The 27,957-nt window shown below is 54.7% G+C and overlaps 3 protein-coding genes across 8 annotated transcripts in view, besides 10 other annotated features; 2 read left to right on the forward strand and 1 right to left on the reverse strand.

Annotated features, from left to right (window-relative positions):
* ZBTB4 (zinc finger and BTB domain containing 4) lies at positions 1,400–26,271 on the reverse strand. Of its 5 annotated transcripts, none has more exons than NM_020899.4 (4): positions 26,026–26,271; positions 9,279–9,349; positions 7,733–8,832; positions 1,400–5,912 (listed from the first exon to the last, which is right to left on the reverse strand). In NM_020899.4, exons 3-4 carry the CDS (start codon positions 8,821–8,823, stop codon positions 3,962–3,964), a joined length of 3,042 nt encoding a protein of 1,013 aa, NP_065950.2. In that variant the 5' UTR covers positions 8,824–8,832; positions 9,279–9,349; positions 26,026–26,271; the 3' UTR covers positions 1,400–3,961. The 5 variants fall into 5 exon arrangements, with proteins under 5 accessions (NP_065950.2, NP_001122305.1, XP_047292437.1 ...); NM_001128833.2 differs by lacking the exon at positions 26,026–26,271 and adding an exon at positions 21,478–21,653; XM_047436481.1 differs by lacking the exon at positions 26,026–26,271 and adding an exon at positions 21,267–21,454.
* Positions 7,490–8,012: an enhancer, noted in NCBI's record as "H3K27ac-H3K4me1 hESC enhancer chr17:7368787-7369309 (GRCh37/hg19 assembly coordinates)". NCBI's record gives its function as "activates a minimal SCP1, AML or CMV promoter by ChIP-STARR-seq in naive H9 embryonic stem cells {active_cell/tissue: H9 hESC(naive)}" and the evidence as "EXISTENCE:reporter gene assay evidence [ECO:0000049][PMID:30033119]".
* Positions 20,960–21,009: a silencer, noted in NCBI's record as "silent region_8122". NCBI's record gives its function as "represses an Ori minimal core promoter by ATAC-STARR-seq in GM12878 lymphoblastoid cells {active_cell/tissue: GM12878}" and the evidence as "EXISTENCE:reporter gene assay evidence [ECO:0000049][PMID:35858748]".
* Positions 21,270–21,729: a silencer, noted in NCBI's record as "silent region_8123". NCBI's record gives its function as "represses an Ori minimal core promoter by ATAC-STARR-seq in GM12878 lymphoblastoid cells {active_cell/tissue: GM12878}" and the evidence as "EXISTENCE:reporter gene assay evidence [ECO:0000049][PMID:35858748]".
* Positions 21,750–22,009: a silencer, noted in NCBI's record as "silent region_8124". NCBI's record gives its function as "represses an Ori minimal core promoter by ATAC-STARR-seq in GM12878 lymphoblastoid cells {active_cell/tissue: GM12878}" and the evidence as "EXISTENCE:reporter gene assay evidence [ECO:0000049][PMID:35858748]".
* SLC35G6 (solute carrier family 35 member G6) lies at positions 23,468–25,518 on the forward strand. Of its 2 annotated transcripts, none has more exons than NM_001102614.2 (2): positions 23,468–23,541; positions 24,010–25,518. In NM_001102614.2, exons 1-2 carry the CDS (start codon positions 23,539–23,541, stop codon positions 25,021–25,023), a joined length of 1,017 nt encoding a protein of 338 aa, NP_001096084.1. In that variant the 5' UTR covers positions 23,468–23,538; the 3' UTR covers positions 25,024–25,518. The 2 variants fall into 2 exon arrangements, with proteins under 2 accessions (NP_001096084.1, XP_047292489.1); XM_047436533.1 differs by having other exon boundaries at positions 23,539–23,547.
* Positions 25,327–25,596: an enhancer, noted in NCBI's record as "active region_11623". NCBI's record gives its function as "activates an Ori minimal core promoter by ATAC-STARR-seq in GM12878 lymphoblastoid cells {active_cell/tissue: GM12878}" and the evidence as "EXISTENCE:reporter gene assay evidence [ECO:0000049][PMID:35858748]".
* Positions 25,600–26,594: an enhancer, noted in NCBI's record as "OCT4-H3K27ac-H3K4me1 hESC enhancer chr17:7386897-7387891 (GRCh37/hg19 assembly coordinates)". NCBI's record gives its function as "activates a minimal SCP1, AML or CMV promoter by ChIP-STARR-seq in primed H9 embryonic stem cells {active_cell/tissue: H9 hESC(primed)}" and the evidence as "EXISTENCE:reporter gene assay evidence [ECO:0000049][PMID:30033119]".
* Positions 25,687–25,736: an enhancer, noted in NCBI's record as "active region_11624". NCBI's record gives its function as "activates an Ori minimal core promoter by ATAC-STARR-seq in GM12878 lymphoblastoid cells {active_cell/tissue: GM12878}" and the evidence as "EXISTENCE:reporter gene assay evidence [ECO:0000049][PMID:35858748]".
* Positions 25,827–25,896: an enhancer, noted in NCBI's record as "active region_11625". NCBI's record gives its function as "activates an Ori minimal core promoter by ATAC-STARR-seq in GM12878 lymphoblastoid cells {active_cell/tissue: GM12878}" and the evidence as "EXISTENCE:reporter gene assay evidence [ECO:0000049][PMID:35858748]".
* POLR2A (RNA polymerase II subunit A) overlaps positions 26,388–27,957 on the forward strand; it is a 30,251-nt gene continuing 28,681 nt past the window's right edge. Inside the window, 1 exon segment of the mRNA NM_000937.5 lies at positions 26,388–26,879. Coding sequence (NP_000928.1) covers positions 26,787–26,879 — 93 coding nt within the window. The 5' untranslated portion in view covers positions 26,388–26,786.
* Positions 26,595–27,588: an enhancer, noted in NCBI's record as "H3K27ac hESC enhancer chr17:7387892-7388885 (GRCh37/hg19 assembly coordinates)". NCBI's record gives its function as "activates a minimal SCP1, AML or CMV promoter by ChIP-STARR-seq in primed H9 embryonic stem cells {active_cell/tissue: H9 hESC(primed)}" and the evidence as "EXISTENCE:reporter gene assay evidence [ECO:0000049][PMID:30033119]".
* Positions 26,707–27,026: a silencer, noted in NCBI's record as "silent region_8125". NCBI's record gives its function as "represses an Ori minimal core promoter by ATAC-STARR-seq in GM12878 lymphoblastoid cells {active_cell/tissue: GM12878}" and the evidence as "EXISTENCE:reporter gene assay evidence [ECO:0000049][PMID:35858748]".

The raw sequence follows: 27,957 nt of genomic DNA on the forward strand, positions 1-27,957 counted from the left end.
TTATTTTTTTTCAAGACAGAGTCTCGCTGTGTTGCCCAGGCTGGAGTGCAGTGGCGGGACCTCGGCTCACCACAACCTCTGCCTCCCGGGTTCAAGTGATTCTCCTGGCTCAGCCTCCTGAGTACCTGGGACTGCAGACCCACACCACCATGCCCAGCTAATTTTTGTACTTTTAGTAGAGATGGGGTTTCACTATGTTGGCCAGGCTGGTCTAGAACTCCTGACCTCGTGATCTGCCCGCCTCGGCCTCCCAAAGTGCTGGGATTACAGGCGTGAGCCATCACGCCTGGCTACTAGTTCACTGCTTTTAAAATGTGGATATTTCATGAGAAATTTGGCTTCCTGGCTTCTCTTGAAAATAATCTTATTTAAAAAAAAACTATAGAGACAGGGTCTCACTATGTTGCCCAGGCTGGTCTTGAACTTCTGAGCTCAAGTGATCCACCTGCCTTGGCCTCCCAAAATGCTGGGATTACAGGTATGAGCCATCACACCCAGCCTCAAAGATAATTTTAAAAACTATAGTAGTCCGGGCGTGGTGGTTTATGCCTGTAATCCCAGCACTTTGGGAGGCTGAAGCAGGCAGATCACGAAGTCAGGAGTTCGAAACCAGCCTGACCAACATGCTGAAACCCCGTCTCTACTAAAAATACAAAAATTAGCTGGATGTGGTGGCGTGCACCTGTAATCCCAGCTACTCAGGAGCCTGAGGCAGGAGAATCGCTTGAACCTGGGAGGTGGAGGTTGCAGCGAGCCAAGATCGTGCCACTGCACTCCAGCCTGGGCAACAAGAGCGAAACTCCATCTCAAACAACAACAACAACAAAAAACTATAGTAACACCAGGCCTGATTCCCCTGTTGGCAACAACTTGTGTAGAGCTTAGTGGCTGCCACTCTGGTCAAGTTATTCATACCATAATTCCTCAAAGCCCCTGTAAACCTGACCCACGTCACTTAGTTTACCTGCCCATCCCTCCGTAACACTAGAAAAGATACAGGGGGCAACGAATTGAAGCCAATGGGGAAGCCACAAGTGGAAAAAGAAAGGTTGTGTCTCTTATGGCCATCACACATTTTATGCCTCAGTTTTCTTTCAATTTGGAAGGAAGGTTAGACCTGGTTTAAGGCAGGGCCATTTTGGACATAGAGATCTCGCGCCCAGCAGGTTGTATGAACTAGACTGTTAATATTTCTGGCTGGATGTTGGGCCAAAGTCAGCTTGAGCCTACAGTCAACAAGCCCTCACTCAACTACTCAACTGCTGGAAGTTGCGTCCAAACAGGGAGCATTGGGCCACAACTCACAGGGATCCTTGTGGGACAAAGTTAGCATGTTCCTTTCCCCCAGACCCACCAGCCACGCAAATAATTGCACCTGGCATCCCACTGTGGAGCACAGTTCATTTGTCTTGTTGGTTTATTGGCCTACAGAGTTGGACACACACACAAATGCGGAGATAAATATTGGTCAGTTTCTCTAAATCTGGGTCCTCACTACGTATAGAGCTAGTCTGTAGAATTCTAAATTTTGCGTGCTGCGGCACAGAACCAGTGGCCTTCTCACTCTGCCACCACCCGTCTTCCCAGGGAACATGGGGAAAGAGGGCACGAACTGACAAGACTTGATCATTTTCAAAAGACAAAACTGCAAAATCCCAAATTTCCAACATCTGAAACTCACAATATTCAAATTCCCCAGCTCAAATACATATATTTTAATCTCCACGTCGCCACAATCTCATTTGTTGCCCAGAACCACCACATTCTGGAAGCTATTTTCCTTGATCATATTTAAGAAAAAAAAAATGTCTACAATCTCAATTCTCCCAAAAAAAAATGTCCATGGTTTTGGAATTTTGACCTATTCTGAAGTTCCAATTCTCCGGTCCATCCTCAACCCTTCCATTTTCCCATGCCTGTTTGCCTCAGAGGAGTATGGGTTAAGGATATAGGGGCACTGTCGTCACCTCTGCCCCTGCCTCCAGGCCTTCCTCAGTCTCTCTTGTGGTTCCGCTGTATAGATAGATAGATATATAATTTGTGTGTAGATATATATATATGTATTCTTTATTACGTATTTTTTTGCAGTTTTTCTAAAGTGCCAGAAACAAGATTTGTGGGAATTTTTAGTGATTTTTTTTTTTGTGTGTTTTTCCCCATTTGAAACCTTTCCCCCCCTTAAAAATTGGAACTTGGTACATTCAGTAGGAAATTCGTCACTCAGGCTGTGGCCAAGACCAAGAAAAGTGCAAAGAGACAGAGGAGGAATGAAGGAGTGACTCCTCTGTGGTTAACATTCAGGGAGCCTGTCTAAAACCTCCCCTTTTGTATATGCTGGGAGGGTATGAGGGGTAGGAGGATGGTCCTGGCCCTCCCTAAACTCACCTCCCTCCAAAAGCCATGATCTTGCCCTTGGCAGTGATTGCTGCTAGGGCAGCCATCTTGGCCCCAAAAACAGTAGCTGGGGAAAAGGCTGCCATTTTGATGACAGCAACTTTTCCTTTTAAAACTGCACTCCTCTAATTCCCATTTGTCAAATTTGCTCCCCCATACTGGCTCTCCCCTTGTGAGCTATTTTTTGGGGGGAGGTGGGTGGGATGGGAAATATTTATCCAATCACAGAGCAGGGAGGCCCAGTTTTCAAAGAGAATTAGGAGCAAACATTTATCTCCCCCACTGGAAGGAAATACAGGGACCCTGACCAGGGTTAACTAGTGCAAATTAGGGATTAGGGACTATTTAAAGTCCCTGTACCCCATCCCTAGGCTGGGATCTTTGGGTGTGGGGAACTGAGTCAAAGATGGGGTGTAAGGTGCTATTTTGAAGGGAAAGTTGGTGGGGATACCCCAAAGCCCACCAGAAGAGTAGAATGGTTCCCCCAAAACCATCTGGAGTGATTGGTGAGGGGAGTGACACTGGGGAGATGGGAATACAGGTAAGGATGGAAGGTCATGTGCAAATCCTGGGCTTACCCACCCATCCGACCCCTATCATTTTTCTGGCTATTTGGTCTAGTCTGGGAGAAACCATCAGGAAAAAAAAACAGGGAGAAAGTAGATTCCCTTCTCCATCCCATATGGAGTTCTTCCCTCCTGGCCCCCAAATCTGGTCTAGCCCAGAATAGGCCATATGTAGAGGCAGAAAGAGGTGTGATCTGCTTACCTCTTTTGCCTTGGAAGAATCTGGAGCTCACTGGATTTGGGGGTCAAGATAGGGCCAATATTTCCCTGCCCTGGACTGGGAAAGTGCTCAGCCACAGAACAGAGGGGCAGAGGGGCAACCCTCCCCCAAACCTCCTTGACCTGGCTTGGGAGAGGCCATCTCCGAAGTCCAGGAATATGGGGAGGAACATGGAAGATCCAAAGGCATGGAAGCTGAGGAAGGTGTCTTGATACAAGGGAAACAGGGACGTAGAGACCCACGCTGGGGAAGGATGAAACCCAAAGCCACACTCCCAGGTGGGCGGGGTCAGGTATCACAATGGTCTGGTCCAGGCCCTGGGCCACAAAGAATGGAATGTGCTAGGAAGCAACTGGGAAGGGCTTAGAGAAAGCTTCAGAACAAGGCGGGTCATTAGGTGAGAGAGATGGTTTCCCCTAGGTTTACGAATCAGGGGAGCAGGTTAGACATTCAGAGCTGGTGGGGGCTGTGAGTAGAGATTCAGGTTAAGTATATTGCTCAGTTGCCCCAAGGGCTGGAGAAGGGATGGAAGCTGGCCCTGCCCCTCATGGAGGCCATTCCCTGGAGGAAGACTGAGAGGGGAACCTCGAAAGATCCCTTCCCAGGAGATGGGAAAACTACATCTCACACAAAGCAGCCTGACCCCTGAGCTCCAGGGGCCCCCAAGTCCCTGCACAAGAGTGTGAAGGGGCTCCCAAGGGGCAGGGAGGCCAGGGAGCTGGTAGTGGTGGGGGGTTCAGGGAGGGTGGCATCTGGTGAAAGGGGGATTGAGCCCCAGGGTTCACCCCACATCGCCCTTCTGGGTTCTCTCAACCCCTGCCCTTTCCCCTTCTCCCTTAGGGGGAATTGGTGGAGGAAGAGTTGGGGGAGGTGGTGTTGGTGGGGCAGGGGGTGCTGCTTGAGGATTCACTGCGTAGCCAAAGACCCCTGGTAGGAAGGGAAGGGCCCCCGCACCCTTCTCATCAGGTAGGACCATGTTGAGAGCAACCGGGAGAGCGGCCAAGTTACTGAAGTTGTAAGGGTAGGCGGCAAGGAGCTGGGGGCCATAGACGAGCGGGTAGGGCTCAGGGTAGAAAGTGACTTTGGCAGCCCCTATCCCCTCCATCCGGTCCCCCTCACCAGCCCCCACTGGCCCTTCACTCCCAGATTTTCCCCTGCCACCGCCAGGTTCCCGGCCGCCCCCAATCAAGGCCAGTGGAAATTCCTGCACAGGTGGGTATACATAGCTGCCCCCGCTTGCCACTACTGGGGGCTCCTCACCCCCTGAAATGATAGGGTCCTGGAGTGAGGCGGTCTCGGAAGCTTCCTCAGCAGCAGTGCTCCCGCCACCTGCCTCACCGCTGGATGAGGAGACTTGCATCTCTTGGGGGGCTTCCTCCTTGACATCCCCGGGCCTGGTGCCAGCGCTGCCCTTGGAATAGGCAATGACAGGGGTTGGGGTGCCCCCGGGCCGCTCAGCAGCATGCCTCTGCCCGTGGCGGCTCAGGGCAGCTGCGGTCTTGCACACCTTGGCGCAGTGGGGGCAGGTAAAGCGGGTGGAGGGCCTCCGTCCGGCCCGGGAGCTGTGGGAGCCCCCACCGTGGGCCTCTTGGTGCTTCCGCAGCTTTCTCAGGGTGGTGAAGGTCTGGGCACAGTCCCCGCATCGGTGCCTCCGCTCTGTGCGGGCACGTCCCGCTGGGCTCTCGGCCGCTGGGGTTTCCTCCCAGCTCCTCCGTTCCAGCTTCTGCCTCCAACGTGGTGGCCGGCGGCCTCGGGGCAGCCCACTGCCCCCCACACTGGCACCTCCAGCAGCTCCAGCCTTGCGCTTAGGCTTGTAGGAGTAGTAGGGCCTCCAGAGCTGGTCCTCCCCACCAGCCTTTGATTCCTCCTCATCCTCCTCCTCCTCCTCTTCGTCCTCCTCCTCTTCGTCCTCCTCACTCTCCTCCATCTCCTCTCCGCTCAGCTCCCCAGGACGCAGGTCAGTCTCTGAGATGCGGCGCTTGACGATGGCCTCCTCCCCTATTCGCACAGTGATCTGACACAGTGGAGGTGGAGCCTGCAGCTGAGAGGGGCCCCGGCCAGCCCCTGTGGGGGGACCCCCACCTCCACCAATCCCGCCCACTGGCTTGGCTGTGTAAGTCAGAGTCCTTCCAGCCCGTGGATTCCGGCCCTTGGCCTCCTCCGTGGTGGTGGCCATGGCTGGCCCTGCAGCGGTGGCTGGGCTGACTGCTGTGGCTGGGCTGGTGGGTGTGGCTGCAGGCTCAGGGGGAGGAGGTGGGTATTCTCGTTTCTTGGGTGGCCTCGGGGGAGCAGTGTAAGTGATAACCGAGGCAGCTTGGGACCCTCCTGTGCTGGCCGTCCCACTCCCCCCTCCACCACTGCTACTGCCCCCATGGACAATGACAGAGGGGGCTGGGTGGGCAAAAGTGATGACAGAGGGTGGAGGGCCAGGCTCTGGGGCAGGTGGAGGCCCAGGCGGCGGGCTGGCTGGCATTGCCACAGGGGCCGGTGTGTTGAGGGTTGGAGAAAGGGGAGCCTCCGGGGCTCCCTGGCTGTAGGTCTTGTAGGGCCGCTTGGCTGCCCGCATGGGGAGCAGGCGGTAGAGCTTGAGTGTATTGAGCTTGGGCTTGTAGCCTCCATTGGGTGTCTTCTCACTGGCAAGGAGGCCCGGGCTAATGCCGTGGAAGGCTCGCTGGTGGGTCTTCAGGTTATAGTAAGTGACAAAGGTCTCCCAACAGAAGATGCACTGGTACCTGGGTCAGGACAGCAGGGAATAGGGCAGGAACACAGGCACTTGAGTCAAGGGCCCTGAAGCCTCCCAGGTCCTCCTACACCCTGCACTCAAACCTGTGACTCCCGTAGCCTTGTGCTGCCTCCCTCACCAGGCCAGCCTCAGTGCAGGGTGCCCGTCTGAGCTCAGTGCCTCCACTGGCTGTGAGACTCTAGGCCTCAGCTATTCCATCTGGGACGCAGCCTAACTCACGGAGCCTTCTTCTCAAGCCCAAATGGCAGAATGGGGAAACGACTTACGAACAGGGACACCACGTGGAAACACAAGGCCCTGCTCGGAATAGTGTAATGACTCCCGGACATGCCTGTGCTGCCACAGTCCTTTCTGGTGAGGGGAGTTTTCTCTTTCCTTCTAGGCCTTCCCCACAGCAGCAAGCCAGGACATGGCACAAAGAGGCCCTAACAAACCTCAGCTGATGAACCCTGGAGGTGAGGTTGCAGTGAGCCAAGATTGCACCACTGCACTCCCGCCTGGGCGACAGAGTGAGACTCTGTCAAAAAAAGAAAAAAAAAAAAAAAAAAAAACCTCAGCTGAAGGAACTGGGGCTGGAGGGAGGCAGACCGGTGAGTGGTGGTGAGCAGGGGCCTCAGGATGGCTTTTTTTTTAAATTCTCAAATTGCTTGTAGAGGCTGAGCGCAGTGGCTCATCCCTGTACTCCCAGCACTTTGGGAGGCTGAGGTTGGCGAATCACCTGAGGTCAGGAGTTCAAGAACAGCTTGGCCAACATGGTGAAACCCTGTCTCTACTAAAAATACAAAAATTAGCTGGGCGTGGTGGCGCGCACCTGTAATCCCAGATACTCGGGAAGCTGAGGCAGGAGAATCGCTTGAACCCAGGAGGTAGAGGTTGCACTGAGCTGAGATTGCGCCACTGCACTCCAGCCTGGGGGACAGAGCGAGACTCGGTCTTAAAAAAAAAAAATGCCGTCTTAAAAAAAAAAAAATGCCGCCGGGCGCGGTGGCTCATGCCTGTAATCTCAGCACTTTGGGAGGCCAAGGCGGGTGGATCACAAGGTCAGGAAATCGAGACCATACTGGCTAACACGGTGAAACCCCGTCTCTACTAAAAATACAAAAAATTAGCCGGGCGTGATGGCGGGCGCCTGTAGTCCCAGCTACTCGGGAGGCTGAGGCAGGAGAATGGCGTGAACCTGGGAAGTGGAGCTTGCAGTGAGCCGAGATCACGCCACTGCACTCCAGCCTGGGCAACAGGGCGAGACTCTGTCTCAAAAAAAAAAAATAAAAAAAATGCCAGGTGTGGTGGCTCACGCCTGTAATCCCAGCACTTTGGGAGGCCAAGGCGGGCAGATCACGAGGTCAGGAGTTCAAGACCATCCTGACCAACATGATGAAACCCTGACTCTACTAAAAATACAAAAAAAAATTAGCTGGGCATGGTGGCGCATGCCTGTAATCCCAGCTATTCGGGAGGCTGAGGCAGAATTGCTTGAACTGGGACCTGGGAGGCGGAGGTGGCAGTGAGCCGAGAAGGCACCACTGCACTCCAGCCTGGGCTACAGAGAGAGGCTCTGTCTCAAAAAAAAAAAAAAAAAGAAAAAAAAATTGTTTGTAGAGATGGGGTCTCTATGTTGTCCAGGCTCGTCCCAGACTCCTGGCCACAAGCGATCCTCCCACCTCAGCTAACCACAGTGCTGGGATTACTGCAGCTAGCCTAGTTTCAGGATAACTTTCTAGGCCCCAAGCCCCACCCACTGCCGCCCTTGTTCCTATGACCGCTGAGTGCCAGCCTCCAGCCGCTCCCCCGCCAGCCTGGATCACTCACCTGCGCTCCCCCGTGTGCCACACTTCATGCTTCGTGCGGTACTCCGCCAGAGCAAACACTTTCTCACAATAGCGGCAGGGGTACTTCCTCCGCCACGAGTGTACATTGCTGTGTCTCTTCAGACTGGACAGGGTCACGTAGGAACGCTCGCAGGCCGCGCACACATACAGCACGTGGCCGCCCACCACCTTCACCACGTGCTCGGGGCCCCCTCGGAAGCCCACTGGTGGAGGCAGGGCTGAGGCGTCCACCCCTGCAGGACCACCAGGGCCAGCGCCCCCAGCTCCCAGCCCTGTAGACCCCCGCGTGCTGGCCCCTCGTCGGCACTGGGCCTCATGGGTCTGCAGCCGTTTGGGATGGATGAAGCTTTTTCCACACTGGGGGCAGGGGAGGGGCCGCCGGGGCAGGGAGCACTGCAAGTCAGGGGCCTGGGCCTCAGCCCTGTCACCCTCCCACTCCCCAGCTGGCCTGGGCCCGGGCCCAAAGCTGTCCTCTTCAGGCTGCGAGGTGGCCATGGGGGCTGGGGTAGGAGGTACCCAGGCATCACCTCCCTCCCCCAGGCCCTGAAGGCGGGAGATGCCCAGACGGCGCCCCAAAGCTCCAATCTCTGCTACAGCTGCCCCGTCCCCTCCACCACCAGGCAGTGCGAGCCGGGCGCTGTAGATGAAGTTGAGGACATCAGAAAACGCAGCTGCTGGGACTCCTGGCAACTCCAGGACCCGGGGTGGGGAAGAAGCAGGGGGAGAGGCTGGAGGGGGAGAGGAAGAGGAAGAGGAAGAAGAAGAAGAAGCAGAGGAGGAAGAAGAGGAAGAAGACGAGGAAGAGGAGGAGGAGGAAGAGGCAGCTGTGGTGGTGGCAGGGTTGGGTGCGGCGCCCCCAGTAGCTGGTGGAAGGGGTAGTGGGGCTGAAGTGAGCAGGGCCTCTCTGAAGAAGGGACTTGAAGCAGCCAGGACGCTGCGGTGAGCAGGGAACTTGGTGTCTCCGGCTATGAGGGTGACGTCACAGAAGAGGCCACGGAGCCGCTGTTCATTGAGCTGGCGCAGGACGGCGGGGGCATGGGACGGGTCCGTCACCTCTGCAGGGGGGGGCATGGTGCCAGCCTAGACAGTGGGAGAAGAGGCCGGGTAGAGTCTCAGAGGCTGGGCAGAGGGCAGGGGCTTCTAAAATCAGGCAGAGAGAGGATCAGGAGCTGCTGGTCAGAAACTAGTGGAAGGCTGAATCACTTCTGGTCACAGAAGTCAGGGGTTGGCCCTTAGCCACCCAAGTCTGGCCAGCATCCAAGACCAGTATGTCTAACTCACTTCTGAGGCTGGAAGAGGCCAGAGATACCTCAGGTCATGGTGAAGGTCAAGGGGTCATGACCTCTGAAGTCACAGACTAGAGATGTAAGTGAGGCAAATCTCTCTCATGGGAAGGAGGAGGAAGCTCCACAACTCCTGATAGCCATTTCACAGAACTCCCCAGCCTAGACAAAATGGCCGCCCCTGCTGGCCTGCTGCCTTGGGTCTACTTTGTCCTCACTGTAGGCCTCTGGGTACCTTCTCACCTGAGAGCACAGCCAACATGGAGTGGGGCGGGGGGTGGCTCAGCGAGTCCCTTCTGCTGGGCCTCTTCCTTCTGCGGAGAAACAGAAATTATGTCAGGGGAACCTAGAGGAGGAGCAGAAGAGGGTCCTCAAGGAGGGAAGTGAGAGGAAAAGCCCCCAGGAAGTGGGGAGGGGTGCAGTACTGTGGCCAGAGAGGACACCTGGGTGAGCCCAGACCCCTCCCCGGAGCCTCTGCCAGGTTATTTGTTTAGCTGTGTCCAGTCAAACCTGGGAGGTCACGCAGATTATTGCAGAGCCTTGTTCTGCGGGCCCAGAGAAGTACAGTGACAAGATAATTTGCATATTCCCAATTCACCTCCAAACAATATAGTAGCACAGGTCCAGTCCATAGGTTCAGGGAAGCCTGTCACAGCACTCTCAAGTCCCTTTGGCCCAATCTCCAGGGCTCAGAGGAAGTCAAAGATTTGCATGTTGTCATTTATCACAATGGTCTCATTTACATATCAAAATAATTTGTGAGTTTTTAAAAATTGGACCTAAGCTGGTAGATATTCAAATTAGGAGAGGACATCCTCACATCCTTCCAGCCCCATAAATCTTAGAAGGGGGTTTCTGGCGCAGCTGCCAGGCAACCATTGAAGACCACTGACCCATACACAACTGCCAGCTTGCTCCAGCCTCTGGAGGGCACTGGAAAGGCCACAAGACCAGGAGGCCTGGTCCCACGCCTTACTCAGAGACCTGATGCCCTAGGGATCTGGACTTAAAAAGCGGCAGAATCACAACTCCTACCTCACCTCTTGCTGGGAGACTCGTCCAGAGGGAAGAGCAAGGCCAGGCGCGGGGGCTCACGCCCGTAATCCCAGCAGTTTGGGAGGCCAAGAGGGGTGGATCACCTGAGGTCAGGAGTTCAAGACCAGCCTGACCAACATGGTGAAACCCACATCTCTACTAAAAATACAAAAAATTAGCCGGGCGTGGTGGCACGTGCCTGTAATCCCAGCTACTTGGGAGGCTGAGGCAGGAGAATCACTTGAACCTGGGAGCTGGAGGTTGCAGTGAGACGAGGTCACGCCACTGCACTCCAGCCTGGGCAACAAGAGCAAAACTCCGTCTCAAAAAAAAACCCCCCAAAAAACAAAGGGAAGAGCAGACAACTGAAACGCAAGCTCAGGCAGTCAGCAGCAGAGAAAGCACCGCGCAGCCACCTTCCCCTGCAGGCACCATCAGGGCCTTGAAGACTCTTTTCAGTTGAAGGTTTGAGTTCAAAAGCCAGACTTATCCAAAGTCACACAGCGCTGGTAATGACAGGCGGCACCTATTTAGAGATCCAGGCCCGCAGACTTGAGAGCAGAGCTCTCCGGACCCTCTCCTCTGCCCTCCACAAAGCCTGGGAGCTGTCACCCATCTTTGAGGGTGTCCTTCCGTATGCCGTGGGCCACGTGTCTTCAGAGGTGTCCGGCATCAGGAGTTCCTCATACAATTCCCATCCCCTGAAAAATCTTCTTTCCCATTTATCACTCATACTGTCTGGACTCAAAGGCCTTTTCCCCACATATACCCCATTTCACATCCCCCAAAATATTTTCCTGACACCTCTCCTGGATGGGAAGAAGGAAGATGGTAAACAGGGATGATATTCCAAAGTTTTAACAACCCTGTCTGCCAGGGACTGATGAGGTTCTGGGTCAAGTGTTGCCCTGTCAGTTGGTGAATTTCAGGTAGGTCGTAGGTCAGGCATCCTGCGGAAGGGGCCTCACTGCATTCACAGGCTGATGCCCAGGCCTCCTACTCGCCTCCATGAGAACCACTGGCTCACCGGGACCCCAAGAGTCAGTGTTTTATTTGGATTACCTCATTTGTTCCTTATCACTACCCTGAAAGGTAGCAGTTAGCTTTCCCTCCTTTTAAATTTTATTTATTTGTTTTGAGATGGAGTCTCGCTCTGCGCCCAGACTGGAATGCAGTGGTGCAATCTCAGCTCACTGCAACCCCCGCCTCCTAGGTTCAAGCGATTCTCCAGCCTCAGCTTCTTGAGTAGCTGGGATTACAGGCGTCCGCCGCCATGCCTGGCTAATTTTTTGTATTTTTAGTAGAGACAGGGTTTCACCGTGTTAGCCAGGGTAATCTTGATCTCCTGACCTTGTGACCTGCCTACCTAGGCCTCCCAAAGTGCTGGGATTATGGGCGTGAGCCTCCATGCCTGGCCACTTTCCCTCTTTAAGGCCGGGCACGGTGGCTCATGCCCGTAATCCCAGCACTTTGGGAGGCCAAGGCGGGCGGATCATCTGAGGTCAGGAGTTCTAGACCAGCCTGGCCAATGTGGCGATCTCTACTAAAAATAATAATAAAAAAAAAATTAGCCAGGCATGGTGGTGGGTGTCTGTAATCCCAGATACTTGGGAGGCTGAGGTAGGAGAATTGCTGGAACCCAGGAAGTAGAGGCTGCAGTGAGCCGAGATCGCGCTGGATGGAGATCAATCCAGGCTGGGTGACAGAGTGAGACTCTGTCTCAAAAAATAAAAATAAAAATAAATAAAAAATAGGCCGGGCACGGTGGCTCACACCTGTAATCCTAGCAGTTTGGGAGGCAGAGGCGGGTGGATCGCGAGGTCAAGAGATTGAGACCATCCTGAAAAACATGGTGAAACCCTCTCTCTACTGAAAATACAAAAATTAGCCGGACGTGGTGGCAGGCACCTGTAGTCCCAGCTACTCGGTAGGCTGGGGCAGGAGAATCACTTGAATCCGGGAGGCGGAGGTTGCAGTGAGCCGAGATTGCGTCACTGCACTCCAGCCTGGTGACAGAACGAGACTCTGTCTCAAAAAATAAATAAATAAATAAAATGACAGACCATGGGCTGGGTGCAGTGGCTCACACTTGTAATCCCAGCACTTTGGAAGGCTGAGGCAGGTGGATCCCTTGAGCTCAGGAGTTCGAGACCAGCCTGGGCAAGATGGAGAAACCTGGTCTCTACAAAAAATACAAAAATTAGCCAGGTGTGGTGGTGTGCACCTATAGTTCCAGCTACTCAGGAGGCTGAGGTGGGAGCATCCCTTAAGCCCAGGAGTTCAAGGCTGCAGTGAGTTATGATTATGCCACTGTACTCCAGCCTGAGTGACAGAACAAGACCCTGCCTCAAAAAAATAAAATAGGCTGGGCATGGTGGCTCATGCCTGTAATCCCAGCACTTTGGGAGGCCGAGGTGGATGGATCACCTGAAGTTCAGGAGCTCGAGACCAGCCTGGCCAACATGGTGAAACACCGTCTCTACTTAAAATATAAAAAATTAGCAGGGCATGGAGGTGGGCACCTATAATCCCAGCTACTCAGGAGGCTGAGGCAGGAGAATCACTTGAACCCAGGAGGCAAAGGTTGCAGTGAGCCGAGATTGCACCATTGCACTCCAGCTTGGGCAACAAGAATGAAACTTCGTCTCAAAATAAATAAATAAAATGTCAGATTATGGCTTATCAATGCTAGGTAGCTGGCCCAAGGACGTATGACCAGCTAGTAGCAGGGCTGGGATCTGATCCCAGGAAGTTTGGCTCCAAAGCCTGTGTTCCTGATGACTTCACCATATATTAACGAAGGACGTGTTTATGGCACCCACTAGGGCACAAATATCCTACCTGGGTGCCTTTCTGAAAATTAGAAGCAAGGTTCTTTCCTCCAGGAGGTAGCAGCCCTGTGTAGGTGGGCAAAGTCAAGCTTTGCCTCCAGTCCCCATTCACCCCACTGGCTGGGCCTGCCAACCTGCACAACCATATGTGGTGGGCTATGCATGTGTGACCGTGTGCTGACTACCACAGTACTTGGACGAGACCTGTCAGGGCTTCTTAGAACTAGAGACACCCAATGCTGGACTGGCCCTTAAGATCACACACAATCATTGTCATCATGGTCTCTGTAGCTGCCATTTATGAAAAAAATTTTTTTTTTTTGAGACAGGGTCTCATTCTGTTGCCCAAGCTGGAGTGCAGTGGTGTGAACATTGCTCACTGCAGCCTGGACCTCCTGGAATCAAATGATCCTCCTGCCTCAGCCTCCGGAGTATCTGGGACCATAGGCTTATGTCACAATGCCTGGCTAATTTATTTATTTACTTTTGTAGAGATGGGGTCTTGCCACGTTGCCCAGGCTTGAAATACTTATGATGTGCAAAGTATAATGCTAAGCATTTTATCTGTATCATCTCATTTCAACACTCAAAATGGCCAGTGAGACAACAGGCTTAGAGAAATCAAATACTCTAAACTCCTCCCTTTCAGGTAGAAGGTAGGTAGTGATGGGGTTATTTGCCTCTGGTTTTGTTGCTAGCCAACCCAGCGTTTGGACGCAGCTTGAGTTAAACTGCCCTATCCTGGCTACTGCCCTGCAAGGCCTTATAGGAAGTGGAAAAGACTAGCTATGTGACCCCAGGCAGGTTACTTAACCTCTCTGTATCTGTTTCTTTGTCCATACGGTGGGGACAATTAATAGTTCCTACCTTGTGGGGTTGTTGTAAAGATTAAATGAGCTAACAACTGGCAATATTTAGTTTGTAGAACTCAGTCCTGGAAAATGGTGGGGAGAAGTAGTGAAGAAAAAAAGGCACAAATTGGGCTTCCTGGTAGGTTTGGTGGCTCTGTGGTTTTAGAGTTTTTTATTTGTTTGTTCTTACCATTTCTCTACTCTTCAGTGCCTGTGTGACCTCAGATGTGCCACTGAGGTGGGGATCTGAGCATGGACACCAGAGACGCCCTACATCTTGCGGTTCCCTCTGGCTGGAATGTTCTTTCCTCCAGATAGCCTCATGCAGTGAACCCCAACTTCCTTTAAGCCTTGACTTAGAAGCCACCTTCCCCTGAGGCCTTCCCTGGCCACTCCCCACCTTCTAAAACTTCCTATCTCCCGACCCTACTTTATTTTGCTCCTTGGCACTTAGTAACACTTTTTCTTTTTTTTTTTTGAGACACAGTCCAGCTCTGTCGCCCAGGCTGGAGTGCAGTGGTGCGATCTGGGCTCACTGCAACCTCCGCCTCCTGGGTTCAAGCGATTCTCCTGCCTCTGCCTCCCGAGTAGCTGGGATTACAGGCGCCTGCCACCACGTCCGGCTAATTTTTGTATTTTTAGTAGAGACGAGGTTTCACCATCTTGGCCAGGCTGTTCTTGAAATCCCAACCTCGTGATCCACCTGCCTTGGCCTCCCAAAGGGCTGGGATTACAGGCATGAGCCACCGCGCCCAGCCTGGCTAATTTTTTTGTATTTTTAGTAGAGGTGGGGTTTCACCATGCTGGCAAGGCTGGTTTTGAACTCCTGACCTTAAGTGATCTGCCCGCCTCTGCCTCTCCAAGTGCCAGGATTATAGGAGTGAGCCACTGCACCTGGCCATTCTTTTTTTTTTTTTTTTTTTTTTTTTGAGATGAGGTCTCACTCCGTTGCCCAGGTTGGAGTGCAGTGGCACAATCATGGTTCATTGCAGCCTCAACCTCCCAGGCTCTCATGACCTCCCACCTCAGCGTCCCTAGTAGCTGGCACCACAGGTGCACACCACAATGCCCAGTTAATTTATTTTTTATTTTTAGTAGAGATTGGATCTCTCTATGTTGGCCAGGCTGGTCTCGAACTCCTGGGCTCAAGTGATCCTTCTGCCTCGGCCTCCCAAAGTGCTGGGATGACATGCATGAGCCACTGAAACTGGCCCAACTGCTTCTCTTTTTTTTTTGCGGCGGGGGACAGAGTCTAGCTCTGTCGCCCAGGCTGGAGTGCAGTGGCACAATCTTGGCTCACTGCAACCTCCGCCTCCCGGGTTCAAGAGATTCTCCTGCCTCAACCTCACGAGTCACTGGGACTATAGGCGCGCGCCACCATTTTTTTTTTTTTTTTTTTTGAGACTGAGTCTCGCTCTGTCGCCCAGGCTGGAGTGCAGTGGTGCGATCTTGGCTCACTGCAAGCTCCGCCTCCCGGGTTCACGCCATTCTCCTGCCTCAGCCTCCGGAGTAGCTGGGACTACAGGCACCCACCACCACTCCCGGCTAATTTTTTTTTGTATTTTTAGTAGAGACGGGGTTTCACCATGTTAGCCAGGATGGTCTCCATCTCCTGACCTTGTGATCTGCCCACTTCGGCATCCCAAAGTGCAGGGATTACAGGCATGAGCCACCGCGCCTGGCCAGGCCCGGATAATTTTTGTATTTTTAGTAGAGATGGGGTTTCACCATGTCGGCCTGGCTGGTCTTAAACTCCTGACCTCAGGTGATCTGCCCGCCTCAGCCTCCCAAAGTGCTGGGATTACAGAGCCTGGTCAATTATTTATCTTTTTTTGAGACAGGATCTTGCTCTGTTGCCCAGGCTGCAGTACAATGGTGAGATTGAGGCTCACTGCAGCCTTAACCTCCTGGGCTCAAATGATCCTCTCACCTGTCAGCCTTCTGAGTAGCTGGGACTACAGGTACCTGCCACCATGCCCAGATAATTTTTGTATTTTTTGTAGAGATGAGGTTTCACCATGTTCCCCAGGGCTGGTATTGAAATCCTGGTCTCAAGCAATCCGCCCAGCTCAGCATCCCAAAGTGCTGGGATCATAGTGGAAAGCCACTGCGCCCAGCTCCTATTTCTTATTTATCTCTGGAATGTAAGCTCCAAGGGGTAAAAGGTAGGAATGTTTTTGGTTTTGTTTTGTTTTTGAGATGGATGGCATCTTGCTCTGTTGCCCAGGCTGGAGTGCAGTGGCATGATCTCTCTCGGCTCACTGCAACCTCTGCCTCCTGGGTTCAAGCAATTTTCCTGCCTCAGCCTCCCAAAAACCTGGAACTACAGGCATATGCCACCACACCCGGCTAATTTTTATATTTTTAGTAGAGACAGGGTTTCACCATGTTGACCAGGCTGGTCTCGAACTCCTGACCTCAGGTGATCCACCCGCCTTGGCCTCCCTCCCAAAGCGCTGGAATTACAGGCATGAGCCACCATGGCCAGACTTTTTTTTTTTTTGACATGAGGTCTTGCTTTGTCACCCAGGCTGTAGTGCAGTGGTGTTACCACAGCTCCCTGCAGCCTTGACCTCCCCTAGGCTCAGGTGATTCTCTCATTACAGCCTCCCAAGTAGCTGGGACTACGGGCATATGCCACCACGCCCAGCGAATTTTTTGTATTTTTAGTAGAGATAGGGCTTCACCATGTTGCCCAGGTTGGTCTCGAACTCCTGGGATCAAGCAATTCACCGCCTTGGACACCCAAAGTGTTGGAATTACAGGTGTGAGCCACAGCGCCCGGCCAAGGGTAGGGAATTTTGTCTGCTTTGTTCATTGCCGTATCTGAAGTCGTTAGAATAGGGCCTAGCACGTAATAGGTGGTAAAAACAAAACAAAAAAACTGGTAAATGAATGAACCTGTCCTCAAAGTCCATCCTCCAGGATGGAAGCCATCGTCCACGCTGGACTGAGTTGGCCTGGAGATAGGGATGACAATTATAACTTGACCACTTCTGGGCCAGGCACAGTGGCGCACACCTGTAATCCCAGCACTTTGGGAGGCTGAGGCGGGCAGATCACTTGAGGTCAGGAGTTCCAGACCAGCCTGGCCAACATGATGAAACCCCATCTGTACTAAAAATACAAAAATTAGCTGGGTGTGGTGGTGCACGCTTGTAACCCCAGCTACTCAGGTGGCTGAGGCAGGAGAATTGCTTGAACCGGGGAGGTGGCGGTTGCAGCGAGCAGAGATTGCGCCACTGCATTCCAGCCTGGGCGACAGAGTGAGACTCTGCCTCAAAAAAAAAAAAAAAAAAAAAAAAGGCCAGGTATGGCCAACTCACGCCTGTAATCCCAGCACTTTGGGAGGCCAAGGCAGGTGGATCACCTGAGGTCAGGGATTGACCACCTGCCTAGCCAACATGGTGAGACCAGCCTGGCCAACATGGTGAAACTTGGTCTCTACTGAAAATAAAAAATTAGCTGGGCGTAGTGGCGGGCGCCTGTAACCCCAGCTACCCGGGAGGCTGAGGCAGGAGAATCACCTGAACCCGGAAGGCGGAGGTTGCAGTGAGCCAAGATCATGCCATTGCATTCCAGCCTGGGTAACAAGAGAGAAATTCCGTCTCAAAAAAAAATTAAAAGAAACCATAAATAAGTTGACCACTCTGGAGTCCTCACAATTTGCCTCATACTCTTCTTGGGGCCTCACACACATTACCTCATTTAATGATATTCTCAGTACAGCCACCCACAATAGGTTTTATATTATCCTGTTGCCCAGGCTGGAGCGCAGTGGCGTGATCTCGGCTCACTGCAACCTCCGTCTCCTGGGTTCAAGCAATTCTCCTGCCTCAGCCTCCAGAGTAGCTGGGATTCCACGCCCAGCTAGTTTTTTTATTTTTAGTAGAGACAGGGTTTCTCCATGTTGGCCAGGCTGGTCTTGAACTCCTGACCTCAGGTGATCCACCTGCCTTGGCTTCCCAAAGTTCTGGGATTACAGGCATGGGCCACTGCGCCCGGCCATATTATTCTAATTTTACAGAAGAGGAAACCGAGGCTCAGAGAGGGATATACCTTACTCGAGGTCGCACAGCTTGTAAGCAGCAGTCAAGATTCGAATCCAGGCCCAGCTGACCCCAGATGCTCAATCTTTCCCTCTGCCATACTGCTAGACCTGGCCCTGAAGAGGCCTATGGCCCGCCAGCTGGTTACATAAACCACCGCACAAGGTCTCACGTGCTAAGTGCTAAATGTGTCATGTCTGACTCCACCCTTTCCCTCACTTCCACATCCAGCAGTCATCAAGTGTGGCTGAAATCGCCGCCGAGCTTGGGAATGGCTCTGGAAATCTTCCCTTCGATAGCTCAGGTCCTTGTTAACACTCACGTGGTCCAAGGTTATGGCCTCCCAGCTATCCCCTGGCCTCCAGGCTTACCTTCCTCCATCCAGCCCTCCTCCCCCTGAGGGTCAACGTCCCTAACCACAGTTCAGGACTATCACTCCTGGGCTCAAAACCTCCACTGGTCCCCACTGACTCTAGAAGAAAGTTCAAATTCTTCTACCAGGCAGTCAAGGGCTCTGGTCTAGCTCCAATCTTCCTTTTTAATCTTGCCTTGTGTTATCCTCTTCAAACACACAGTACTCAGCGTGAGCCAGGCGTGATGGCAGATACCCATAGTCCCAGCTACTCAGGAGGCTGCAGCTAGAGGATTGCTTGAGCCCAGGAGTTTGAGTCCAGCCTGGGCAATATATTGAGACCCAGTTTCTAAACAAATGAACAAAACCCCAGACACCCAGTGTGCTCTCCAGCTTCTACATGACCCACACCTTCATGCCTTTGCCTGTGCTGGCTTGTTCTGCCAGAAATGCTCTTTCCCCAAGCTTGTCAAAATCCCTCCAAAACGTTAAGATCTGACTCCAAGGCCACCTCCTTCTTGGCCCTCCCTGATCCACAGGATGAGAACGATCATTCCTTCCTCTGACTCATCAACCTTTTGTGCTCCTATGGCCAGCATCCACCTTACACAGCAGCAGAGACTCAGGTTCTCATGCCCTCAGCTGGGGATCCCTGAGCATCCGGGTCTTCTGAAATGGACTGCTGCAAATGCTAAGTTCTGCAGCAACTGGGGAGAAGAGTGTTGGAGGGAGTTGCACAGAAAGGACCATCCACTGAATGTTCCAGAAGGCAGCAGAGTACAGTAGTTAAGAGCACAAGATCTTCAACCTGATTGCCCGGGTTCAAATACAGCTTCACCTCTTACTAGCTAAGTGACTTGGGGCAGATTACTTAACTTCTCTGGACCTCAGCTGCCTCACTTGAAAAAGGGAGGTAGAGTGCCTACTTCAGGGTGTTGTTCTGAGGACAGAGTGGCCACATATAAGTGCCCTGAGGACAGGCTGGTGCACGGTCAGTGCTAAGCAAGTGTGTGCTGCCATTATTATCAGCGAAGCCCCAAGAAGGGAATTCCCAGTCCTGGGGGAGGGCTGACAGGGGCTGGCATAGGCACAGCCCCCAGACTATAGCCACTTTCCGGGTCCGTTTCCCATGTGCTTTTGGAAGATACGCAGGGCAGACAATCAGCCCCATTCTGCAGATGAGGAACTGAGCTTCCTTCAGATCAAGTGCCAGTGAGGGAATGGTAAAGACGCCAGAGCTCCTCAGCCCTGGACCATGGCTCCTTTCTCTTCACCAGACCGTCACTGTGCACCTGTTGAGCAGGCTCCCACGGCAGCCACCCCTTCCCAGCCCCCCATGCCGGAGGGCCTGTCCGCAGCACCCTCCCTTCCCCCACGTACACACATCCTTCCAGTGGGGCCGGGCACAGTAGACAGTGGTGTGCAGGCTTGGAATGCACTTGCACACACACCCCTAGAAGGGCCCAGTCCCCAAAGGTGAGGAAAACCTGTTCTGAGGAATCTGCCTAGTGAGCGAATTCTGTTCTGAGGCCCTTCCACCGTCGCAGGAGTGGGGCCCAGTGTGCGTCAGAGATACCCACAAGGGGGGCAGAGAGAGGGAGAGGGTGAAGCAGGAGGAGGCTGAAAACTTCACGTTTCTTTTTTCCATTTTAGTGACAAGAGTCACACCCAGCCTTTACATAAACATGGCCAAGGAGCCTCTCTGTCTAAGCTTACTTCCCTTGTGGCCGCCCAGCCTCTCCTCCGGGTGACCCTGACACGCTGGGCAGGCTCATGAGGGGCAAACATACAGACCCTGCAAAGATTAGCTGGGCCATCTGACAACACCCATGCCTCCCGCCGGCCTCCATGCGCTACCCTGCATTTATCTCCCGCCTTCCTCATACCAAATCCCCTCCGCAGCCCCACCGCCACTTAAGCACACAGACGGCAGGCACGCACACACAGCCTGCTTGCGGCTGGCCTCTTGGGTCTGAGGCCCACACTGCCCTTGTCACGCCACCTCCCTCCCCACATGTGTTTTCTGACCAGTTTGCCTCCCAGCTCAGCAGCCCAGACAGGCTCCTACAAACAACGTCACAAAAGAATCCTGTGGAGAATGTTGCAAACACACAACCTTCCCCTCGCTTGGCTGCCCATGATCCCATAAACACAACTGGCGCATTCCACCTCGAGCCCCTCACACCAGTGCCAACTGACCCACAGGCCCCTGAGACATACCCCGGGGTTCCTCGCTCCTCTCATGATCTTTGGGATCTGAGTTCTAGACGCGCAGCCCCCATGCAACGCGCTCATCACAGACACGCAAACCCATCCATCGCCCTCTTCACCACTGGACCACACCTCAGCAGGGCCACAGAAATGGGACCCAGACGTGACGCCTTCTGACTCAAAGGCCCACAACCGCCCCCTCCAAAAGGGCACATACACTGCATCCTGGCACCCTCCGCAACACATACAGCATGCCAGCTCTGCAGAAAACAGTTCATAAACAGGTCATAGGTGCAGCACAAGACACACATGCGAGAAAACACATGCTGTAGAAAACATACAGCCCCACATCGAACAAACTCTGCACCCAGCATGCTGTGCCCTGCTCAGAATACCCATCTGTCACCCAAAGCCACAGGGCTCGTCTTGTAACTCTGCCCCACAACACTGGACACCCTTCCTGGCTTTCTATCTCCATGGCCCAGGGAGGGCCCTACCCAGACCCCTGGCTGCCAGCAAACGGTGGTGCCCAGGAGAGGTTTACCTTGCCCCACCACACAGCACAAGACACACGATCTCCAAGACTCACAGCCACAACCCTGCCCCGACGGCGCGGCGGTTCCGGGGCCCCAGCTCGCCCTGCGCACCCCGCACACCCCAACTCTGGGGCGCTCGGCGGCCCACCCCTCCCCCTCTCTGCCTGGCTCCTACGCCATCACCCTCCCAGCAGCTTGCAGCGCTTGCCCGGGCTCACACCCGCCCCACCCCACCCCCAATCTGCCCCACGGGGGGAGGGGGCCATTAGGCTGCAGAATTAACCCTTCAAAGAGGGAGTGAGCACCTCCCCTTCCACGGCCCCAGGCGATCGCGTCCCACGGCCGCCCCTCGCTCGGACGCCATACCAGGGCCCCCTTAGTCGCCCCCCAGCGTCGTGCGCGCCCGGGGGCGGGGCCAGGCTCAGCCCCCGACCCCTGCGCCCCCAGGTCAACCCCAAAGGAGAGCGGTCTGGGCGCGGGGCGCGGTCGGGGCTCCCGCAGCGCCGGGCAGCGGAGAGGGGGCCTGGCAGTTGGCTCCGGTCCGCCCTGGCCCTGCCCAGTTCGCCCCAGGGCCCACCTGACTGCGATGGCGCCGCGTCCGCCAGGCCCGGCTCATCACCGTGGCCGCCCCCGGCCGCTCCGGTTTTGCCCGCCTCCAGCTCCGGCTCCGGCTCCAGCTCCGGCCCTGGCCCCCCCAGCGCCTGGCCCCGGCCCGGCCCCGCTGCCGCCGCCGCCGCCGCCGCTGACATCATCGGCTCCCCCCGCCCCGGTCCTACCCCCACCCCCACCCCCGGAAACAGTCCCCCCCCAGCGCCGCCGCCGCCGCCGCCGAGAGGAGGCCGGCGCAGCGCAGCCGACACCGACACAAAGCTCCGAGCGCCCGACGGCCTTCCCCAGGACTGACCCCCGCGGCATGACACTGCGCCGCGCTGGGCCACCGGGCGGGTGGACACCGAGCGGGGCGCGGGCCGGGCTGCAGCATCCCGGCAGGGGCGCAAGACCACCGACCCCCAGGGAAAGGGCTCCCTCCGCCCTTCCTCCTGCACGCCCTTCACTCAGCGGTGCACACTGCCTGAAAGCATAACACACAGGCTCTCAGGGTGCAGACATGACATGGCAGACTCATAATCAGGCCCGGTGGGACTCACAGACCCAGGGTCGGCACACTCAAAGAGGGCCAGCCCTGGACACACACACACACCCTCTCCAGGAATGCGCAGGAAAGCTCAGCAGGCCGCGGAAAAAGAAGGCCCTGGCCCTGCATACGGGGCACACACGAACGACCACCAGCGCAAATGAACACATGAAGCTGGCTGGGTACTTTGTCCCCACCAGCAGATAGATCCACATCTGTATACTTGAACATAAATGCAGAGGCCTTGGTGTCGGCCTCTGGGGACAGCATCAACAAAACACCAGGTGGAAGCACACACAGAAAAAACACATTCCTGAAACTCCACAGGGACAATCCCAAGAACTCCTCCCTGGTGCTGGAAAATTAAAAACTAAGGAGATGGAGGAGCCAGGGTTCACAGCTCCTTGCCTTAAAACCTCTCTGAGGCTGGGCGCGGTGGCTCACGCCTGTAATCCCAGCACTTTGGGAGGCCGAGGTGGGCGGATCACGAGGTCAGGAGATCGAGACCATCCTGGCTAACACGGTGAAACCCTGTCTCTACTAAAAATACAAAAAAATTAGCCGGGCGTGGTGGCGGGCGCCTGTGGTCCCAGCTACTCGGGAGGCTGAGGCAGGAGAATGGCGTGAACCTGGGAGGCGGAGCTTGCAGTGAGCCGAGATCTCGCCACTGCACTCCAGCCTGGGCGACAGAGACAGACTCCGTCTCAAAAAAAAAACAACAACAAAAAAACCTCTCTGAAACCATGCAAGATATAAATAAACAAATTAATGTAAAGCCACAGAGCTAGCCATAAAAAGAATAAAAGAATCAGACAAACTTTGGAGTCATGGAGACATAAATAGAAAAGAAGCAGAGTTGGGCTGGGCACGGTGGCTCATGCCTGTAATTCCACCACTTTGGGAGGCGGGGGGTGGTGGGGTGGATCACTTGAGGTAAGGAGTTCAAGACCAGCATGGCCAACATGGAGAAACCCCATCTCTACGAAAAATAAAAAATTAGCGGGGTGTGGTGGCACATGCCTGTAATCCCAGGTACTTGGGAGGATGAGGTAGGAGAATTGCTTGAACCCAGGAGGTGGAGGTTGCGGTGAGCCGAGATTGCACGCACCACTGCACTCCAGCCTGGGCAAGAAGAGCAAAACTCCGTCCCAAAAAAAAAAAAAAAAATTAGCCAGGTGTAGTGGCACATTCTTGTAATCCCAGCTACTTGGGAGGCTGAGGCAGGAGAATCGCTTGAATCTGGGAGGTGGAGGTTGCAGTGAGATGAGATCACACCATTGCACTCCAGCCTGGATAACAAGAGTGGAAACTTCGTCGCAAACAAAAAAAGAAAGAAAGAAAGAAAAGAAGCAGAGTTGGACTCAGCGGGAAAATAGGCGTGCTACCACCTCAGGAGAGTTCCAGGGAAGAACCCCACCCCCACTCCAACCATGTCACAATGGCTGGAGCTCTGAGGGGCCCAGGCTCCCTGAGCCAGGAGGAGAGGAGAAAGTCCAAGGAAAGATGGTGAGTGTGGGGGCCAGGGGCCTAGTACTCCCTCCCTATAGCTCCTGGTTGCTCCATTTCCCCTCCTTTCCTAAAACTTAGCTGTCTCAGAGATACCCACAAATAGAATTCATAATGGTGTACCCAGATGTCTCTGGAACCTGTGGCATCATACAGATGCATAGCATCTGAGGCTTCCTCCCCTTCCTCAATCCGAGAGAGCATCCTGGGTCCTTTTTCTCCTCCCAGGAACAACTTACCCAGGGAAACGATGCTCCAGGACTGCTCACTCCTTGCTTCCTGCTCCAGGCCCACATTATAACATCTCACTCATCTTTTAGGCCCTTTCTAGCTCCGAAGAGTTCCTCAGCAAGATAGCCCAACACTGTACAGTCCCACAGGGTCCCAGACCCCATCCTGGCATCTGCCCTGCCCCAGGTCGCCTGGGCTGCGGCTGCTGTCTACCCTGAGCTCCTTTCTCCCTAACAGGCTGGCAGTCACCCCTACTTGAACCCGCCTGACTCCACACACCCATCGCCGCCCTCCGCTCCACCCAGCCTCCGCTGGCACCAGTGCTGCCAGCCCTCTGATGCCACCAATGGCCTGCTGGTGGCCCTGCTGGGTGGGGGCCTGCCTGCTGGCTTCGTGGGCCCCCTTTCTCATATGGCTTACCAGGCTTCCAACCTGCCCTCGCTGGAGCTGCTCATCTGTCGATGCCTCTTCCACCTCCCTATTGCCCTGCTACTTAAACTGCGTGGCGACCCCCTTCTGGGACCTCCTGACATCCGAGGCCGGGCCTACTTCTATGCCCTGCTCAACGTCCTCAGCATTGGATGTGCCTACAGTGCGGTTCAGGTGGTGCCCGCTGGCAACGCTGCCACTGTTCGCAAAGGTTCTTCCACCGTCTGCTCCGCCGTCCTCACCCTCTGCCTTGAGAGCCAGGGTCTCAGTGGCTACGACTGGTGTGGACTGTTGGGCAGCATCCTAGGACTAATCATCATTGTGGGACCTGGACTCTGGACACTACAGGAGGGGATCACGGGTGTCTACACCGCCCTGGGCTATGGGCAGGCTTTCGTGGGAGGACTGGCGCTGTCCCTGGGGCTTCTGGTCTATCGTTCTCTGCACTTTCCCTCCTGCCTCCCAACAGTGGCCTTCCTATCTGGCTTGGTGGGGCTGCTGGGCTCTGTGCCAGGCCTCTTTGTGCTGCAGCCCCCCGTGTTGCCCAGTGATCTCCCGAGTTGGAGTTGTGTGGGGGCAGTGGGGATCCTCGCCTTGGTCTCCTTCACATGTGTGAGCTATGCGGTCACCAAGGCCCACCCTGCCCTGGTGTGCGCTGTCCTGCATTCCGAGGTGGTGGTGGCCCTTATACTGCAGTATTATATGCTCCATGAGACTGTGGCACCTTCTGACATCGTGGGGGCAGGGGTTGTGCTGGGCAGCATTGCCATCATCACAGCCTGGAACCTCAGCTGTGAGAGGGAAGGGAAGGTGGAGGAGTGAGATAGAACTTGGGAGCCCGGGGGTTGGGAGGGACAGGGATAAATAGAGGCAAAGACTGAAGACAAACATGGGAGGAGAAGTGACTGGAAAAGAACTGGTGTGGGAGAGGGATACCTCTCAGAGTCAAGGGTGACTTGGGGACTTGGTGGAGAGGGACTACCTGGAAGACCTGGGGCCAGCCTGGGACCAAGGGATGTGGAGACCAGGCTGGGTCCTGGAATCAGGGCATAACTAAGGGGTAAAGTCTGAGGAGCAGATCCAAACGGCTGAGGCAGGGAGGCCGTGGGCCACGGGGAGGACTTCACTCAGCAGCAAAGAGAAGAGCATTGGGGCTGGAGTGTTCCGGCAAAGACAGAGCCAGCAGCTGCGGTGGGGGAGGGGAGCGTGCCTCCCCACCCCTCCCCTCACGGCAAAGGTTTCCTTTCCTCGTGCTTGTGCCCCCCCCTTGGGGTGGTGACGTGACATTGACATCAAACAAGGATTACTCTGAATGTGGCTTGCAGTGGTGTCGTCTCTGCTTTGGAGGGAGAGTGGAAAGTCCTACGACCGTTCTCATTGGAGAACCCCTTGGGATCCCCGCCCCCCATTTTATTCCTGAAATATTCTACAAAGTGGAGGATTTCCTAATGTTCAGATGCCTTGACCCCAAATCCCCCAGGACTTTCGTGGCCCGCCCCATGGCTAATCTGCTTTTCTCGGATTGTCGCGGTCCCGTGATCTCTCCCGGACAGTGGCCACCCTCCTTCCAGAGCAGGCCTCCCAGCTGAAGTCTCTTCGAGAGGCTCAGGCCATGGATCTAGGATCATGGCTCGGTACAGCGCGGCATTACAGGCCAGGAGATGCCCACCCGTCTCCGGGGGCCGTTTGACAAACATCGGCTACTTCCGGACAAGCCACTGGTCCTGCCATCTTGGTTTGTTCATGCATATTCAGCAAGAGAACTGCATATTCATGAGCAACCGCCCTTCCCCGGGAGGACCCGCCCCGCCCCGCCGCCATTACCGATTCGCAGAGCAGACCATTTTCCAGCTGGGGGGGGCTACGAATGAGAGGCTTTTGCTGAAGATGAAACCGTTGTCCAAACTAGAATGAAAGCGGCCCAATTTTACCCTCGAGTCTTCAAACCTTAAGCCTCAGTGCAAAAGGGAGCAGCGAGGAGAGGCGGTGGGATTAAAGAAAAAAATTCTTCTCTCCCTGTCACTTCAAAAGGTCGCCCAACCAGCGAGCGGGGGGTTTACCCACGACTCTGGCTCGCACCCCTTGCGGGCCTGCGCAGGCGGCCCCGTAGCGCAAGGGAGGGCGGGAAAGGAAGGGGCGGGGACGCGAGGGCGAATCTATAAGAAGCGTCGTTCAGCGAGTTCGCTGCTCAGAAGCGCCGAGAGCGCGGCCGGGACGGTTGGAGAAGAAGGCGGCTCCCGGAAGGGGGAGAGACAAACTGCCGTAACCTCTGCCGTTCAGGAACCCGGTTACTTATTTATTCGTTACCCTTTTTCTTCTTCCTCCCCCAAAAACCTTTTCCTTTTCCCTTCTTTTTTTTTCCTTTTTGGGAGCTGAAAAATTTCCGGTAAGGGAAAGAAGGGCTCCTTTCGCTCCTTATTTCCCCGCCTCCTTCCCTCCCCCACCTTCCCCTCCTCCGGCTTTTTCCTCCCAACTCGGGGAGGTCCTTCCCGGTGGCCGCCCTGACGAGGTCTGAGCACCTAGGCGGAGGCGGCGCAGGCTTTTTGTAGTGAGGTTTGCGCCTGCGCAGCGCGCCTGCCTCCGCCATGCACGGGGGTGGCCCCCCCTCGGGGGACAGCGCATGCCCGCTGCGCACCATCAAGAGAGTCCAGTTCGGAGTCCTGAGTCCGGATGAACTGGTAAGCGGCTCTGTCCTCCCCTTCCCCCCTCCTCCCCTGGCGGGCGGGGCCGGACGGGGGCTGCGGAAACTTGGCGCTTTCTCGCTGCTTATGGGTGACGGGCCAGGAGCATGGCTCAGCAGCGCCAAGGCCGTGTAGGCGCCAGTCTCGGGCCTCCCAGAGTTATATTTTGCAAAGAGTTGAGCAGGCGTAGCGCTTTGTCCGAGATGGGGGGCTGGCTGGAGGGTGAGAAGGAGGGAGAGAAGGATGACTGATTTCACACTCCAGAGTTACCGACGTTAAAGGCGATCCGACGAATCCTAGGGAGTCTTTACAAGTTTGGTTAAGAAGCCAAACCCGGGTAGCTTCCTCCTCTTCTGTAATACAAATGTTAACTGAGCACCTGCTCTGTTGAAGACACAGGAGACTCGGGTTACAGAGGTGAACACGACAGACCAGGACCCTACCTTCAAGAGCACTGTCTGTGGGAAAGGGCAAGCAGTAAACATGAATACAATGAATGAATGAGATAATTCAGTTAATGGCATTTGTCTCGAATAGAGTGAAAAGGGGTAATCCCATGGAGAGTCACTGAGCTGGGGCTACTTTATTTTTTTATTTTTATTTTATTTTATTTTTTGAGACGGAGTCTTGCTCTGTCGCCCAGGCTGGAGTGCAATGGCACGATCTCGGCTCACTGCAATCTCCGCCTCCCGGGTTCAAGCGATTCTCCTGCCTTAGCCTCCTGAGTAGCTGGGATTACAGGCATGCGCCACCATGCCCCGCTAATTTTTGTATTTTTAGTAGAGGAGGGGTTTTGCCATGTTGGCCAGGCTGGTCTCGAACGCCTGCCCTGAGGTGATTCTCCCCCGTCTTTTTTTTTTTTTTTTTTTTTTTGAGACGGAGTTTCGCTCTTATTCCCCAGGCCAGAGTGCAATGGCTGAACTCCTGACTTCAGGTGATCCACCCGCCTCGGCCTCTCAAAGTGCTGGGATTACAGGCGTGAGCTACCGCGCCCGTCGAGGTGGGGCTACTTTAGATGGGATGGCGTCAGGGTCTGGGAAGGCCTATCTTAGAAGACATTACCCAAATGATGAGA

This window comes from Homo sapiens, chromosome 17, assembly GCF_000001405.40.
Source record: "Homo sapiens chromosome 17, GRCh38.p14 Primary Assembly".
Classification (NCBI taxonomy): domain Eukaryota; kingdom Metazoa; phylum Chordata; class Mammalia; order Primates; family Hominidae; genus Homo; species Homo sapiens.